We start from the raw sequence: 17,538 nt of genomic DNA, 5'->3' as shown, positions 1-17,538 counted from the left end.
CGGCGGCTGGGGCCTCGCGCATGCGCACTGGCGAGGCCGACTCACCCGCCCCACCCCTCCTTACTCAGCAGAGTCAGGCTGCGGACCCTTTAAAAAATGGCGGCGACGCGGCGGCTGCGGGGACTGGGGCGGCGGTGCTGGAGGTTGCGGCGGCGGCGGCTGCGGCGCAGCCCGAGGCGGCGGGTGGGAAGAGGACTACCAGAGGGGCCTGCGGGAGACCCAGGGTCGGACCCATAGGAGTCCTGTCGTCAGGACCTCCTTGATCGGTCTCCTGCTTCTGTTCCCGGTGAAGGAGGATCTTCGGGGTGCTGGCTGGGCTGCGCGGACTCCTCTTGGGATCCGATGATGGCTCCCACCGGCTGATCGGGAATGGGGTTACAATGCAGTGAGGCGGAAAGGGTCTCGCCGGGGCAAGGAAAGATCCCCAGGGCCGCAAGGCGTGCTGTCGTCTGCAACGGCACGGACCCATGAGTCCACTGCCTCCCTCCTTCCTGGGTGGAGCAGGGGCCTGCCTTCATCTTCAAGGCCCGGGCGCTCCGGCATCCCGACGCAGCTTCCGGCGACACCGGCAAAGGCAGACAGAGGCGAGTCCGAGCTGGAGCCCGTGTGACCAAACGTGGCACTGACGTCCCCCAAGAGCACATGCAGTGAGCGTGTGTCTTTGAGGCCGTAGGGGGCGACGACGAGACGGACAGTGATGTCCAGGCGTGCGCCCGGGGGCCACTGGAGACCTGCCCCACAAAGCGGAGGAAAAGCCAAGCGCACCTGCAAACCTGCGAGACAGGGCCTGTGCGCGAGTCCAGGCCACATTCAGGGAGGCCCGCCAGAGGAGCCCAGAGCTTTGGACCAAGTACACCCCACCCCCACGCCGCTACCGCTTAGGTACCCCTGACGCAACCTCCGCTGCACCCAGCCAAAACCCAGTCCCGTTGGCTCCCTGACATCCGTGGCAGCCAAAAGATTCAGTGCCAGAAGGCGCTTTCCCCAGGAGCGGAGGAACCGGTTGGCCCTCAAGGATCAGACAGGAAGTGCAGGTGGGCTGCAACACCGCCTTTCCTGGAAGGCCAATGTGGGGAACGGTGGGCTTGCCTCCCCCTCTTCCTGGACCGAGCGCGCAGCCATCACTTGGGCCATGGAGACCAAGAGAGCTTCCCTGTCCCACACAGGTATGGAAGCCCAGAGCTCCAGGATCACCACACCTGCCCAATCATGCAGAAAGAGGTGTCGAGAGGGAAACGATCATGACACGGACGCCCACGGGGTTTCTCCCTGGACTGGGAAGTCTTCTTTGTTGAAGACGTTGAGCCAGACTAAGAAGCCGCCAGGCTTCTCAGAGACGGGGCAGACACAGCAAAAGGGAGGACAGAGCAGAGGCCAGAGCCCAGGCAGGATACGGGGCCATGGCAACACCACGGGCATCCGGGGAGGAGTGTCAGACGGGTGACTCGGCCAGGAAGGCCAGCCTTTGAGTGACAGAGATGCTTGCCCCATCCCCTTGCCGGCTTCCTTCTCCGTCCCTGCGTCGAGCTGTGGCTCCATTTCTCCATGAGGGAGAGGGCGAGAGGCGTGAGAACCATCCTCTTGAAGGTCTGCGGGCACCCTCCTGCGGGTGGACAATGAGCGCCTGGGAGGCCGTTGTCCTTGCTTGGGGAGCGGTCGTCTGGATCTAGCCTAGCAAAGAGGCTGCTCCGGATGGGGAGGGGACGAAAACCCCTGCGGTTCCGAAGCAGATGCCGGCATTGCCCAGGCCCTCACAGACCCCCAAACCGGAACCGCCGGGAAACCGACTGCTAACCGGCTACACGACCGAGGCAGAGACGCGGGGAGAGGCTGACCAGAAGAAAGGCCGACCTGCAAGAAACCCACCCTCCGGCACACGGGGCACATGTGTCCCGAGGCACAAGCACACACAGACGGACAGAGATAGAAAGAGAGGGCGACGGAAAGAGCGAGGGCGGGGAGAGAGAGAGAGAGACGTAAGAGATAGACAGAAGTGGGCACACGGACGCCACGCACGCACGCACACAGACACACACACACACACACACACACACACACACAACCAAGACGCACACAGACATACAGCAGGTAACACCCACCCCCAGGCTGCCCCTGAAGCTGCCGGGTTCTGCTCTCCGCGACTACGAGGCCACCGGTGAGACAGCAGCCCACGGACACCCTGGCAGACCTGTCCTCCACATCACAAGGGCGCTACTTTTGGGGAGACTCACCCGCACACCGTCCGTGCACGCCTGAGGCTGGGATCCCGTGCTGCGTCCCCGGCGATCTGTCTGAGGTTTCTTCCTTCTGGCGTTTCTTCCTCCTGGTTGACCCTCCGCGAATCCCGGCCTCCGGAGACCGTCCTGGTAACTGCCCTGGCCAGGACTGGTCTGAGCCCCGACTCTGACGCACGATCACACAGGGCTCCTACTTCGCCAAGTCTCAGGGACCCATCCCCGGGCAACGGTGGCGGTCACTGTGACCAAAGCGGCGGCTGGGGCCTCGCGCTTGCGCACTGGCGAGGCCGACTCACCCGCCCCACCCCTCCTTACTCAGCAGAGTCAGACTGCGGACCCTTTAAAAAATGGCGGCGACGCGGCGGCTGCGGGGACTGGGGCGGCGGTGCTGGACGTTGCGGCGGCGGCGGCTGCGGCGCAGCCCGAGGCGGCGGGTGGGAAGAGGACTACCAGAGGGGCCTGCGGGAGACCCAGGGTCGGACCCATAGGAGTCCTGTCGTCAGGACCTCCTTGATCGGTCTCCTGCTTCTGTTCCCGGTGAAGGAGGACCTTCGGGGTGCTGGCTGGGCTGCGCGGACTCCTCTTGGGATCCGATGATGGCTCCCACCGGCTGATCGGGAATGAGGTCACTATGCAGTGAGGCGGAAAGGGTCTCGCCGGGGCACGGAAAGATCCCCAGGGCCGCAAGGCGTGCTGTCGTCTGCAACGGCACTGACCCATGAGTCCACTGCCTCCCTCCTTCCTGGGTGGAGCAGGGGCCTGCCTTCATCTCCAAGGCCCGGGGGCTCCGGCATCCCAACGCACCTTCCGGCGACACCTGCAAAGTCAGACAGAGGCGAGTCCGAGCTGGAGCCCGTGTGACCAAACGTGGCACTGACGTCCCCCAAGAGCACATGCAGTGAGCGTGTGTCTTTGTGGCCGTAGGGGGCGACGACGAGACGGACAGTGATGTCCAGGCGTGCGCCCGGGGGCCACTGGAGACCTGCCCCACAAAGCGGAGGAAAAGCCAAGCGCGCCTGCAAACCTGCGAGACAGGGCCTGTGCGCGAGTCCAGGCCACATTCAGGGAGGCCCGCCAGAGGAGCCCAGAGCTTTGGACCAAGTACACCCCACCCCCACGCCGCTACCGCTTAGGTACCCCTGACGCAACCTCCCCTGCACCCAGCCAAAACCCAGTCCCGTTGGCTCCCTGACATCCGTGGCAGCCAAAAGATTCAGTGCCAGAAGGCGCTTTCCCCAGGAGCGGAGGAACCGGTTGGCCCTCAAGGATCAGACAGGAAGTGCAGGTGGGATGCAACACCGCCTTTCCTGGAAGGCCAATGTGGGGAACGGTGGGCTTGCCTCCCCCTCTTCCTGGACCAAGCGCGGAGCCATCACTTGGGCCATGGAGACCAAGAGAGCTTCCCTGTCCCACACAGGTATGGAAGCTCAGAGCTCCAGGATCACCACACCTGCCCAATCATCCAGAAAGAGGTGTGGAGAGGGAAACGATCATGACACGGACGCCCACGGGGTTTCTCCCTGATGGACTGGGAAGTCTTCTTTGTTGAAGACGTTGAGCCAGACTAAGCCGCCAGGCTTCGCAGAGACGCGGCAGACACAGCAAGAGGGAGGACAGAGCAGAGGCCAGAGCCCAGGCAGGATACGGGGCCATGCCACCACCACGGGCATCCGGGGAGGAGTGTCAGACGGGTGACTCGGCCAGGAAGGCCAGCCTTTGAGTGACAGAGATGCTTGCCCCATCCCCTTGCCGGCTTCTTTTTCCGTCCCTGCGTCGAGCTGTGGCTCCATTTCTCCATGAGGGAGAGGGCGACAGGCGTGAGAACCATCTTCTTGAAGGTCTGCGGGCACCCTCCTGCGGTTGGACAATGAGCGCCTGGGAGGCCGTTGTCCTTGCTTGGGGAGCGGTCGTCTGGATCTAGCCTAGCAAAGAGGCTGCTCCGGATGGGGAGGGGACGAAAACCCCTGCGGTTCCTACGCAGATGCCCACGTTGCTCAGGTCTTCACAGACCCCCAAACCGGAACCGCCGGGAAACCGACTGCCAACCGGCCACACGACCCAGGCAGTGACGCGGGGAGAGGCTGACCAGAAGAAAGGCCGACCTGCAAGAAACCCACCCTCCGGCGCACGGGGCACATGTGTCCCGAGGCACAAGCACACACAGACGGACAGAGATAGAAAGAGAGGGCGACGGAAAGAGCGAGGGGGGCGGAGAGAGAGAGAGAGACGTAAGAGATAGAAGTGGGCACACAGACGCGCGCACGAACGCACACAGACACACACAGAAACACACACACACACACACACATACAACCAAGACGCACACAGACATACAGCAGGTAACACCCACCCCCAGGCTGCCCCTGAAGCTGCCGGGTTCTGCTCTCCGCGACTACGAAGCCACCGGTGAGACAGCAGCCCACGGACACCCTGGCAGACCTGTCCTCCACATCACAAGGGCGCCACTTTTGGGGAGACTCACCCGCACACCGTCCGCACACGCCTGAGGCTGGGATCCCGCGCTGCGTCCCCGGCGATCTGTCTGAGGTTTCTTCCTTCTGGCGTTTCTTCCTGGTGGTGGACCCTCCGCGAATCCCGGCCTCCGGACACCGTCCTGGTAACTGCCCTGGCTAGGACTGGTCTCAGCCCCGACTCTGACGCACGATCACACAGGGCTCCTACTTCGCCAAGACTCAGGGACCCATCCCCGGGCAACGGTGGCGGTCACTGTGACCAAAGCGGCGGCTGGGGCCTCGCGCATGCGCACTGGCGAGGCCGACTCACCCGCCCCACCCCTCCTTACTCAGCAGAGTCAGGCTGCGGACCCTTTAAAAAATGGCGGCGACGCGGCGACTGCGGGGACTGGGGCGGCGGTGCTGGAGGTTGCGGCGGCGAAGGCTGCGACGCAGCCCGAGGCGGCGGGTGGGAAGAGGACTACCAGAAGGGCCTGCGGGAGACCCAGGGTCGGACCCATAGGAGTCCTGTCGTCAGGACCTCCTTGATCGGTCTCCTGCTTCTGTTGCCGGTGAAGGAGGACCTTCGGGGTGCTGGCTGGGCTGCGCGGACTCCTCTTGGGATCCGTTGATGGCTCCCACCGGCTGATCGGGAATGGGGTTACAATGCAGTGAGGCGGAAAGGGTCTCGCCGGGGCACGGAAAGATCCCCAGGGCCGCAAGGCGTGCTGTCGTCTGCAATGGCACTGACCCATGAGCCCACTGCCTCCCTCCTTCCTGGGTGGAGCAGGGGCCTGCCTTCATCTCCGACGCCCGGGGGCTCCGGCATCCCGACGCAGCTTCCGGCGACACCGGCAAAGACAGACAGAGGCGAGTCCTAGCTGCAGCCCGTGTGACCAAACGTGGCACTGACGTCCCCCAAGAGCACATGCAGTGAGCGTGTGTCTTTGAGGCCGTAGGGGGCGACGACGAGACGGACAGTGATGTCCAGGCGTGCGCCCGGGGGCCACTGGAGACCTGCCCCACAAAGCGGAGGAAAAGCCAAGCGCACCTGCAAACCTGCGAGACAGGGCCTGTGCGCGAGTCCAGGCCACATTCAGGGAGGCCCGCCAGAGGAGCCTAGAGCTTTGGACCAAGTACACCCCACCCCCACGCCGCTACCGCTTAGGTACCCCTGACGCAACCTCCCCTGCACCCAGCCAAAACCCAGTCCCGTTGGCTCCCTGTCATCCGTGGCAGCCAAAAGATTCAGTGCCAGAAGGCGCTTTCCCCAGGAGCGGAGGAACCGGTTGGCCCTCAAGGATCAGACAGGAAGTGCAGGTGGGATGCAACACCGCCTTTCCTGGAAGGCCAATGTGGGGAACGGTGGGCTTGCCTCCCCCTCTTCCTGGACCGAGCGCGCAGCCATCACTTGGGCCATGGAGACCAAGAGAGCTTCCCTGTCCCACACAGGTATGGAAGCCCAGAGCTCCAGGATGACCACACCTGCCCAATCATCCAGAAAGAGGTGTGGAGAGGGAAACGATCATGACACGGACGCCCACGGGGTTTCTCCCTGATGGACTGGGAAGTCTTCTTTGTTGAAGACGTTGAGCCAGACTAAGAAGCCGCCAGGCTTCGCAGAGACGGGGCAGACACAGCAAGAGGGAGGACAGAGCAGAGGCCAGAGCCCAGGCAGGATACGGGGCCATGCCACCACCACGGGCATCCGGGGAGGAGTGTCAGACGGGTGACTCGGCCAGGAAGGCCAGCCTTTGAGTGACAGAGATGCTTGCCCCATCCCCTTGCCGGCTTCCTTCTCCGTCCCTGCGTCGAGCTGTGGCTCCATTTCTCCCTGAGGGAGAGGGGGAGAGGCGTGAGAACCATCTTCTTGAAGGTCTGCGGGCACCCTCCTGCGATTGGACAATGAGCGCCTGGGAGGCCGTTGTCCTTGCTTGGGGAGCGGTCGTCTGGATCTAGCCTAGCAAAGAGGCTGCTCCGGATGGGGAGGGGACGAAAACCCCTGCGGTTCCGAGGCAGATGCCCGCGTTGCGCAGGCCTTCACAGACCCCCAAACCGGAACCGCCGGGAAACCGACTGCCAACCGGCCACACGACCCAGGCAGAGACACGGGGAGAGGCTGACCAGAAGAAAGGCCGACCTGCAAGAAACCCACCCTCCGGCGCACGGGGCACATGTGTCCCGAGGCACAAGCACACACAGACGGACAGAGATAGAAAGAGAGGGCGATGGAAAGAGCGAGGGGGGGGAGAGAGAGAGAGAGAGACGTAAGAGATAGAACTGGGCACACAGACTCACGCACGCACGCACACAGACACACACAGACACACAGACACACACACACACACACACAACCAAGACGCACACAGACATACAGCAGGTAACACCCACCCCCAGGCTGCCCCTGAAGCTGCTGGGTTCTGCTCTCCGCGACTACGAAGCCACCGGTGAGACAGCAGCCCACGGACACCCTGGCAGACCTGTCCTCCACATCACAAGGGCGCTACTTTTGGGGAGACTCACCCGCACACCGTCCGCGCACGCCTGAGGCTAGGATCCCGCGCTGCGTCCCCGGCGATCTGTCTGAGGTTTCTTCCTCCTGGCGTTTCTTCCTGCTGGTGGACCCTCCGCGAATCCCGGCCTCCGGAGACCAACCTGGTAACTGCCCTGGCCAGGACTGGTCTTAGCCCCGATTCTGACGCACGATCACACAGGGCTCCTACTTCGCCAAGTCTCAGGGACCCATCCCCGGGCAACGGTGGCGGTCACTGTGACCAAAGCGGCGGCTCGGGGCTCGCGCATGCGCACTGGCGAGGCCGACTCACCCGCCCCACCCCCCCTTACTCAGCAGAGTCAGGCTGCGGACCCTTTAAAAAATGGCGGTGACGCGGCTGCCGGGACTGGGGCGGCGGTGCTGGAGGTTGCGGCGGCGGCGGCTTCGGCGCAGCCCGAGGCGGCGGGTGGGAAGAGGACTACCAGAGGGGCCTGCGGGAGACCCAGGGTCGGACCCATAGGAGTCCTGTCGTCAGGACCTCCTTGATCGGTCTCCTGCTTTGGTTCCCGGTGAAGGAGGACCTTCGGGGTGCTGGCTGGGCTGCGCGGACTCCTCTTGGGATCCGATGATGGCTCCCACCGGCTGATCGGGAATGGGGTTACAATACAGTGAGGCGAAAAGGGTCTCGCCGGGGCACAGAAAGATCCCCAGGGCCGCAAGGCGTGCTGTCGTCTGCAACAGCACTGACCCATGAGCCCACTGCCTCCCTCCTTCCTGGATAGAGCAGGGGCCTGCCTTCATCTCCAAGGCCCGGGGGCTCCGGCATCCCGACGCGCCTTCCGGCGACACCGGCGACACCGGCAAAGACAGACAGAGGCGAGTCCGAGCTGGAGCCCGTGTGACCAAACGTGGCACTAAAGTCCCCCAAGAGCCCATGCAGTGAGCGTGTGTCTTTCAGGCCGTAAGGGACGACGACGAGACGGACAGTGATGTCCAGGCGTGCGCCCGGGGGGCCACTGCAGACCTGCCCCACAAAGCGGAGGAAAAGCCAAGCGCACCTGCAAACCTGCGAGACAGGGCCTGCGCGCGAGTCCAGGCCACATTCAGGGAGGCCCGCCAGAGGAGCCCAGAGCTTTGGACCAAGTACACCCCACCCCCACGCCGCTACCGCTTAGGTACCCCTGACGCAACCTCCCCTGCACCCAGCCAAAACCCAGTCCCGTTGGCTCCCTGACATCCGTGGCAGCCAAAAGATTCCGTGCCAGAAGGCGCTTTCCCCAGGAGCGGAGGAACCGGTTGGCCCTCAAGGATCAGACAGGAAGTGCAGGTGGGATGCAACACCGCCTTTCCTGGAAGGCCAATGTGGGGAACGGTGGGCTTGCCTCCCCCTCTTCCTGGACCGAGCGCGCAGCCATCACTTGGGCCATGGAGACCAAGAGAGCTTCCCTGTCCCACACAGGTATGGAAGCCCACAGCTCCGGGATCACCACACCTGCCCAACCATCCAGAAAGAGGTGTGGAGAGGGAAACGATCATGACACGGACGCCCACGGGGTTTCTCCCTGATGGACTGGGAAGTCTTCTTTGTTGAAGACGTTGAGCCAGACTAAGAAGCCGCCAGGCTTCTCAGAGACGGGGCAGACACAGCAAGAGGGAGGACAGAGCAGAGGCCAGAGCCCAGGCAGGATACGGGGCCATGCCACCACCACGGGCATCCGGGGAGGAGTGTCAGACGGGTGACTCGGCCAGGAAGGCCAGCCTTTGAGTGACAGAGATGCTTGCCCCATCCCCTTGCCGGCTTCCTTCTCCATCCCTGCGTCGAGCTGTGGCTCCATTTCTCCATGAGGGAGAGGGCGAGAGGCGTGAGAACCATCTTCTTGAAGGTCTGCGGGCACCCTCCTGCGGGTGGACAATGAGCGCCTGGGAGGCCGTTGTCCTTGCATGGGGAGCGGTCGTCTGGGTCTAGCCTAGCAAAGAGGCTGCTCCGGATGGGGAGGGGACGAAAACCCCTGCGGTTCCGACGCAGATGCCCGCGTTGCGGAGGCCTTCACAGACCCCCAAACCGGAACTGCCGGGAAACCGACTGCCAACCGGCCACACGACCCAGGCAGTGACGCGGGGAGAGGCTGACCAGAAGAAAGGCCGACCTGCAAGAAACCCACCCTCCGGCGCACGGGGCACATGTGTCCCGAGGCACAAGCACACACAGACGGACAGAGATAGAAAGAGAGGGCGGCGGAAAGAGCGAGAGGGGGGAGAGAGAGAGAGAGACGTAAGAGATAGAAGGCACACAGACGCGCGCACGCACACACACAAACACACACACACACACACACACACACAACCAAGACGCACACAGACATACAGCAGGTAACACCCACCCCCAGGCTGCCCCTGAAGCTGCCGGGTTCTGCTCTCCGCGACTACGAAGCCACCGGTGAGACAGCAGCCCACGGACACCCTGGCAGACCTGTCCTCCACATCACAAGGGCGCCACTTTTGGGGAGACTCACCCGCACACCGTCCGCGCACGCCTGAGGCTGGGATCCCGCGCTGCCTCCCCGGCGATCTGTCTGAGGTTTCTTCCTTCTGGCGTTTCTTCCTGCTGGTGGACCCTCCGCGAATCCCGGCCTCCGGAGACCGTCCTGGTAACTGCCCTGGCCAGGACTGGTCTCAGCCCCGACTCTGACGCACGATCACACAGGGCTCCTACTTCGCAAAGTCTCAGGGACCCATCCCCGGGCAACGGTGGCGGTCACTGTGATCCAAGCGGCGACTCGGGCCTCGCGCATGCGCACTGGCGAGGCCGACTCAGCCGCCCCACCCCCCCTTACTCGGCAGCATCAGGCTGCGGACCCTTTAAAAAATGGCGGCGACGCGGCGGCTGCGGGGACTGGGGCGGCGGTGCTGGAGGTTGCGGCGGTGGCGGCTGCGGCGCAGCCCGAGGCGGCGGGTGGGAAGAGGACTACCAGAGGGGCCTGCGGGAGACCCAGGGTCGGACCCATAGGAGTCCTGTCGTCAGGACCTCCTTGATCGGTCTCCTGCTTCTGTTCCCGGTGAAGGAGGACCTTCGGGGTGCTGGCTGGGCTGCGCGGACTCCTCTTGGGATCCGATGATGGCTCCCACCTGCTGATCGGGAATGGGGTTACAATGCAGTGAGGCGGAAAGGGTCTCGCCGGGGCACGGAAAGATCCGCAAGGCCGCAAGGCGTGCTGTCGTCTGCAACGGCACTGACCCATGAGCCCACTGCCTCCCTCCTTCCTGGGTGGAGCAGGGGCCTGCCTTCATCTCCAAGGCCCGGGGGCTCCGGCATCCCGACGCAGCTTCCGGCGACACCTGCAAAGGCAGACAGAGGCGAGTCCGAGCTGGAGCCCGTGTGACCAAACGTGGCACTGACGTCCCCCAAGAGCACATGCAGTGAGCGTGTGTCTTTGAGGCCGTAGGGGGCGACGACGAGACGGACAGTGATGTCCAGGCGTGCGCCCGGGGGCCACTGGAGACCTGCCCCACAAAGCGGAGGAAAAGCCAAGCGCACCTGCAAACCTGCGAGACAGGGCCAGTGCGCGAGTCCAGGCCACATTCAGGGAGGCCCGCCAGAGGAGCCCAGAGCTTTGGACCAAGTACACCTCACCTCCACACCGCTACCGCTTAGGTACCCGTGACGCAACCTCCCCTGCACCCAGCCAAAACCCAGTCCCGTTGGCTCCCTGACATCCGTGGCAGCCAAAACATTCAGTGCCAGAAGGCGCTTTCCCCAGGAGCGGAGGAACCGGTTGGCCCTCAAGGATCAGACAGGAAGTGCAGGTGGGATGCAACACCGCCTTTCCTGGAAGGCCAATGTGGGGAACGGTGGGCTTGCCTCCCCCTCTTCCTGGACCGAGCGCGCAGCCATCACTTGGGCCATGGAGACCAAGAGAGCTTCCCTGTCCCACACAGGTATGGAAGCCCAGAGCTCCAGGATCACCACACCTGCCCAATCATCCAGAAAGAGGTGTGGAGAGGGAAACGATCATGACACGGACGCCCACGGGGTTTCTCCCTGATGGACTGCGAAGTCTTCTTTGTTGAAGACGTTGAGCCAGACTAAGAAGCCGCCAGGCTTCTCAGAGACGGGGCAGACACAGCAAGAGGGAGGACAGAGCAGAGGCCAGAGCCCAGGCAGGATACGGGGCCATGCCACCACCACGGGCATCCGGGGAGGAGTGTCAGACGGGTGACTCGGCCAGGAAGGCCAGCCTTTGAGTGACAGAGATGCTTGCCCCATCCCCTTGCCGGCTTCCTTCTCCGTCCCTGCGTCGAGCTGTGGCTCCATTTCTCCATGAGGGAGAGGGCGAGAGGCGTGAGAACCATCTTCTTGAATGTCTGCGGGCACCCTCCTGCGGGTGGACAATGAGCGCCTGGGAGGCCGTTGTCCTTGCTTGGGGAGCGGTCGTCTGGATCTAGCCTAGCAAAGAGGCTGCTCCGGATGGGGAGTGGACGAAAACCCCTGAGGTTCCGAAGCAGATGCCGGCGTTGCCCAGGCCCTCACAGACCCCCAAACCGGAACCGCCGGGAAACCGACTGCTAACCGGCCACACGACCGAGGCAGAGACGCGGGGAGAGGCTGACCAGAAGAAAGACCGACCTTCAAGAAACCCACCCTCCGGCGCACGGGGCACATGTGTCCCAAGGCACACGCACACACAGACAGACAGAGATAGAAAGAGAGGGCGACGGAAAGAGCGAGAGGGGGGAGAGAGAGAGAGAGACGTAAGAGATAGACAGAAGTGGGCACACAGACGCGCACACGCACGCACACAGACACAAACACACACACACACACACACACACACACACACACACACACACAACCAAGACGCACACAGACATACAGCAGGTAACACCCACCCCCAGGCTGCCCCTGAAGCTGCCGGGTTCTGCTCTCCGCGACTAAGAGGCCACCGGTGAGACAGCAGCCCACGGACACCCTGGCAGACCTGTCCTCCACATCACAAGGGCGCCACTTTTGGGGAGACTCACCCGCACACCGTCCGTGCACGCCTGAGGCTGGGATCCCGCGCTGCGTCCCCGGCGATCTGTCTGAGGTTTCTTCCTCCTGGCGTTTCTTACTGCTGGTGGACCCTCCGCGAATCCCGGCCTCCGGAGACCGTCCTGGTAAGTGCCCTGGCCAGGACTGGTGTCAGCCCCGACTCTGACGCACAATCACACAGGGCTCCTACTTCGCCAAGTCTCAGGGACCCATCCCCCGGCAACGGTGGCGGTCACTGTGACCAAAGCGGCGGCTGGGGCCTCGCGCATGCGCACTGGCGAGGCCGACTCACCCGCCCCACCCCTCCTTACTCAGCAGAGTCAGGCTGCGGACCCTTTAAAAAATGGCGGAGACGCGGCGGCTGCGGGGACTGGGGCGGCGGTCCTGGAGGTTGCGGCGGCGGCGGCTGCGGCGCAGCCCGAGGCGGCGGGTGGGAAGAGGACTACCAGAGGGGCCTGCGGGAGACCCAGGGTCGGACCCATAGGGGTCCTGTCGTCAGGACCTCCTTGATCGGTCTCCTGCTTCTGTTCCCGGTGAAGGAGGACCTTCGGGGTGCTGGCTTGGCTGCGCGGACGCCTCTTGGGATTCGATGATGGCTCCCACCCGCTGATCGGGAATGGGGTTACAATGCAGTGAGGCGGAAAGGGTCTCGCCGGGGCACGGAAAGATCCCCAAGGCCGCAAGGCGTGCTGTCGTCTGCAACGGCACTGACCCATGAGTCCACTGCCTCCCTCCTTCCTGGGTGGAGCAGGGGCCTGCCTTCATCTCCGACGCCCGGGGGCTCCGGCATCCCGACGCAGCTTCCGGCGACACCTGCAAAGGCAGACAGAGGCGAGTCCGAGCTGGAGCCCGTGTGACCAAACGTGGCACTGACGTCCCCCAAGAGCACATGCAGTGAGCGTGTGTCTTTGAGGCCGTAGGGGGCGACGACGAGACGGACAGTGATGTCCAGGCGTGCGCCCGGGGGCCACTGGAGACCTGCCCCACAAAGCGGAGGAAAAGCCAAGCGCACCTGCAAACCTGCGAGACAGGGCCTGTGCGCGAGTCCAGGCCACATTCAGGGAGGCCCGCCAGAGGAGCCCAGAGCTTTGGACCAAGTACACCCCACCCCCACGCCGCTACCGCTTAGGTACCCCTGACGCAACCTCCGCTGCACCCAGCCAAAACCCAGTCCCGTTGGCTCCCTGACATCCGTGGCAGCCAAAAGATTCAGTGCCAGAAGGCGCTTTCCCCAGGAGCGGAGGGACCGGTTGGCCCTCAAGGATCAGACAGGAAGTGCAGGTGGGATGCAACACCGCCTTTCCTGGAAGGCCAATGTGGGGAACGGTGGGCTTGCCTCCCCCTCTTCCTGGACCGAGCGCGCAGCCATCACTTGGGCCATGGAGACCAAGAGAGCTTCCCTGTCCCACACAGGTATGGAAGCCCAGAGCTCCAGGTTCACCACACCTGCCCAATCATCCAGAAAGAGGTGTGGAGAGGGAAACGATCATGACACGGACGCCCACGGGGTTTCTCCCTGATGGACTGCGAAGTCTTCTTTGTTGAAGACGTTGAGCCAGACTAAGAAGCCGCCAGGCTTCTCAGAGACGGGGCAGACACAGCAAGAGGGAGGACAGAGCAGAGGCCAGAGCCCAGGCAGGATACGGGGCCATGCCACCACCCCGGGCATCCGGGGAGGAGTGTCAGACGGGTGACTCGGCCAGGAAGGCCAGCCTTTGAGTGACAGAGATGCTTGCCCCATCCCCTTGCCGGCTTCCTTCTCCGTCCCTGCGTCGAGCTGTGGCTCCATTTCTCCATGAGGGAGAGGGCGAGAGGCGTGAGAACCATCTTCTTGAAGGTCTGCGGGCACCCTCCTGCGGGTGGACAATGAGCGCCTGGGAGGCCGTTGTCCTTGCTTGGGGAGCGGTCGTCTGGATCTAGCCTAGCAAAGAGGCTGCTCCGGATGGGGAGGGGACGAAAACCCCTGCGGCTCCGAAGCAGATGCCGGCATTGCCCAGGCCCTCACAGACCCCCAAACCGGAACCGCCGGGAAACCGACTGCCAACCGGCCACATGACCCAGGCAGAGACGCGGGGAGAGGCTGACCAGAAGAAAGGCCGACCTGCAAGAAACCCACCCTCCGGCGCACAGGGCACATGTGTCCCAAGGCACAGACACAGATGGGCACATACTGATGGGCAGAGATAGAAAGAGCGGGCAATGGAAAGAGCGCGAAAGGAGAGAGAGATAAATAGAGTCGTAAGAGGGAGTCAGAAGTGGTCACACAGACAGGCACTCGCGCAGGCACACAGACAGACACACACATACACATATACACACACACATACACACCCATAACGCGCACAGACATACAGTAGGTAATACACAGAAGACATACACAGAAGCCGAGCAGATGCATCATGCTTTCTGTATAACGTGCAGATCCATGAGCCAATTAAACTGTTTTCCTTTGTAAATTACCCAGTCTCAGTTATTTCTTTAGAGCAATGTAAGAAAGGACTAATATCGAGAATTGGTAGAGGAATATGATATTGTTGTAAACATACCGGAAAATGTGAAAGTGGCTTTGAAACTGGATAGTGGAGAGAGGTTGGCAGGGTTCGGAGAGATCAGAAGAAGACAGGAAGATGAGGGCACGTTTTGAACTTACTAGAGTCTTGTTACATTGTTGTGACCAAGCTACTGATAGAGACACACAATGAAGTCCAGGCTGAGGAGGTCTCAGTTGGAGATAAGGAACTTAATGGGAACTGGAGCAAAGGTCACTTTAGTTAGGCATTAGCAAAAAGGTTGGATGCACTGTGCACCTGCCCTAGGGATCTGTCGAATTTTGAGCTTGAGAGTATCTCAAGTTCTGGTGGGTATCTGGTGGAAAAAATTTCTAAGCAGCAAAGCATTCAGGAAGTAATCTCGCTACTTCTAACAAACTATTTTGGTGTGTGTGAGCAAAGAAATGACCTCAAACTGAAACTTATATTTAGAAGGTAAGCAGAGTGTAGAAACTTGAAAAATTTGCAGCCTGGCCATGTGGTAGAACAAAAAGTCCATTTTCAGGAGAGAAATTCAAGCAAGCTGCAGAAACTTGGTTAACTAAAAGGAAGGCAAATGCTGATAGCCAGGAAAATGATGAATACCTTCCAGGGCATTTCAGAGACCTTTGTGGAAGCTCCTCCCATCACAGGCTCAGAGGACAACGAAGGAAGAATGGTTTCGTGGCCCAGGCCTAGGGCCCCACTGCCCTGTGCAGCCTTGAGACACTACTATATGCATCTCATCTGTTCCAGCTCTAGCCATGGCTCCAAGTGGCCCAGGTACAGCTCAGGCTGCTGCTCCAGAGGGTTCAAGCCATAAGTCTTGATGGCTTCCATGTGGCATTAAGCCTGAGGGTGCCCAGAGTACAAGAGTTGAGGCTAGATTTCAGAGAATGTATGAACAAACCTAGATGTACAGTCAGAAATCTGCTGCAGGGTCAGAGCCCTGATGGAGAATCTCTACGAGGGCACTGAAGAGGGGAAAGGTGGGATTGAAGCCACCACACAGTGTCCCTACTGGACCACTATCTAGTGGAGCTATGAGAAGAGGGACACTATCTTCCAGACCCCAGAATGGTAGATCCACCAGCACTTGTACTGTGTGCCTGGAAATGGTGTAAGCACTCAACACCAGCCCTTGAGAGCAGCTGTAGGAGCTGAACCCTGCAAAGTCACAGGAGTGGAGCAGCAGAAGACTTTGGGAGCTCGCCCCTTGCAGTGGTATGCCCTGGATGGTGTCAAAGGAGATTGTTAAGCTTTAAGACTTAATAACTTCCCTACTGGCTTTCAGACTTGCATCGGGCCCGTAGCCCCTTACTTTTGGCCAATTTCTCCCTTTTGAAATGGGAGTATTTACCCAATCCCTGTACCCCCATTATACATTATATCTTGGGAGGTTTTTGTTTTTTTTTTTTTAAATCTTACAGGGTCTTAGGCAGAAGGGGCTTGCCTGATCTCAGATAAGACTTTAGACTTTGGATGTTTGAGTTAATGCTGAAGTGAGTTAAGACTTTGGGGGACTGATGGGAAGGCATGACTGTATTTCGCAAACTGAGAAAGACATAAAATTTGGGAGGGACTAGGGCAAAATAATATGGTTTGGATCTATGTCCCCAACCAAATCTCATGTCAAATTGTAATCCCCAGTGTTGGAGGTGGGGCCTGATGGGAGGTTATTGGATTGTGGAGTGGTTTCTCTTTAATGGTTTAATACCATTTCCTTGGTGCTATTCTTATGATAGTGAGTGAGTGAGTTATTATGAAATCTGGTTGTTAAAATGGTGTAGCACCTCCCCACCTCTCACTTTTCTTCTTGCTCCCAGCTATATGAAGCATCGGCTCCCTCTTCATTTTCCCACCATGGTTATACATTTCATGAGGCCTCCCCAGATGCCCAGCAGATGCAACATTCTTTCTGTACAGCATGCAGAACTGTGAGTCAATTAAACCTCTTTTCTTTATAAATTACCCAATCTCAGGTATTTCTTTATAGCAATGCAATAATGGACTAATACACACCTAATAATATTATTTCCTTGAATCATGTAATCAATTACCAAAATCCTCTGTGCGAAATGGCTGGTTTCCTTTTATTGGTGGTTAACTGCTAATTAAACAATATTTTTGGTGTTTCAATTTTGTTGTTACTATTGTTCAAAGCTTGTACAAAGCCTCCATCAAGTAGTCCAATTCTCCAGCTTCTGTCACTCCTGGACAACATTTGTATTTAAAAATACCTTTCAGCCAGGTGACACACACCTGTTGTCCCAGCTACTCAGGATGCTGAGGCAGGAGGAACACTTGAGCCCAGGAGTTCTGGGTTGTATGCACTATGCTGATGAAGTGTCTGCACTAAGTTTGGCATCAATATGTTAGCTTCCAGGGAGCAGAGGACTACCAGGTTGCCTAAGGAGTGGTCAACTCAAAAACTGAGCATAAAAAAACTCCTCTGCTTATCAGTAGTGGGATGAGTCCTTTGAATAGTCACTGCACTACAACCTGGGCAACATAGTGAGACCCTATTTCTTAACAAAAAAAAAGAAAGAAATACTTTCCATATTTCTGCAAGTATGTGAGTTATCTTTGGTGTAGTGTTACCTTTTTGCAGTGAATGAAGTGTAATAACCTCTTGCTCATTTTGTTTACAAAAATAAATAAATAAATAAATAAATAAAAGCAGGGACATTCTAAGTGGAATCAAGTTCCAAGTAATACAGACAATACTATTTATAGAATAATTCAATTTTATGATATATTTCATGTGTTGCTATCCTCAGTTATATTTACTCATGTA

General features: G+C 59.9%; 1 pseudogene, besides 3 other annotated features; it reads left to right on the top strand.

Annotated features, from left to right (window-relative positions):
- Window positions 5,099-5,250: a silencer, noted in NCBI's record as "fragment chr4:132653436-132653587 (GRCh37/hg19 assembly coordinates)". NCBI's record gives its function as "represses an EF-1alpha promoter that drives an FKBP-Casp9 reporter gene in an ReSE screen in K562 erythroleukemia cells {active_cell/tissue: K562}" and the evidence as "EXISTENCE:reporter gene assay evidence [ECO:0000049][PMID:32094911]".
- Window positions 6,289-6,789: an enhancer, noted in NCBI's record as "H3K4me1 hESC enhancer chr4:132651897-132652397 (GRCh37/hg19 assembly coordinates)". NCBI's record gives its function as "activates a minimal SCP1, AML or CMV promoter by ChIP-STARR-seq in naive H9 embryonic stem cells {active_cell/tissue: H9 hESC(naive)}" and the evidence as "EXISTENCE:reporter gene assay evidence [ECO:0000049][PMID:30033119]".
- Window positions 6,790-7,290: an enhancer, noted in NCBI's record as "H3K4me1 hESC enhancer chr4:132651396-132651896 (GRCh37/hg19 assembly coordinates)". NCBI's record gives its function as "activates a minimal SCP1, AML or CMV promoter by ChIP-STARR-seq in naive H9 embryonic stem cells {active_cell/tissue: H9 hESC(naive)}" and the evidence as "EXISTENCE:reporter gene assay evidence [ECO:0000049][PMID:30033119]".
- On the top strand, window positions 16,988-17,271 carry RN7SL205P (RNA, 7SL, cytoplasmic 205, pseudogene; annotated as a pseudogene).

This window comes from Homo sapiens, chromosome 4 (assembly GCF_000001405.40).
Source record: "Homo sapiens chromosome 4, GRCh38.p14 Primary Assembly".
In the NCBI taxonomy this organism is placed as follows: Eukaryota; Metazoa; Chordata; class Mammalia; order Primates; family Hominidae; genus Homo; species Homo sapiens.
The sequence above is the reverse complement of the archived record's forward strand: the minus strand, read 5'-3'. Positions and strand labels throughout refer to the sequence as shown.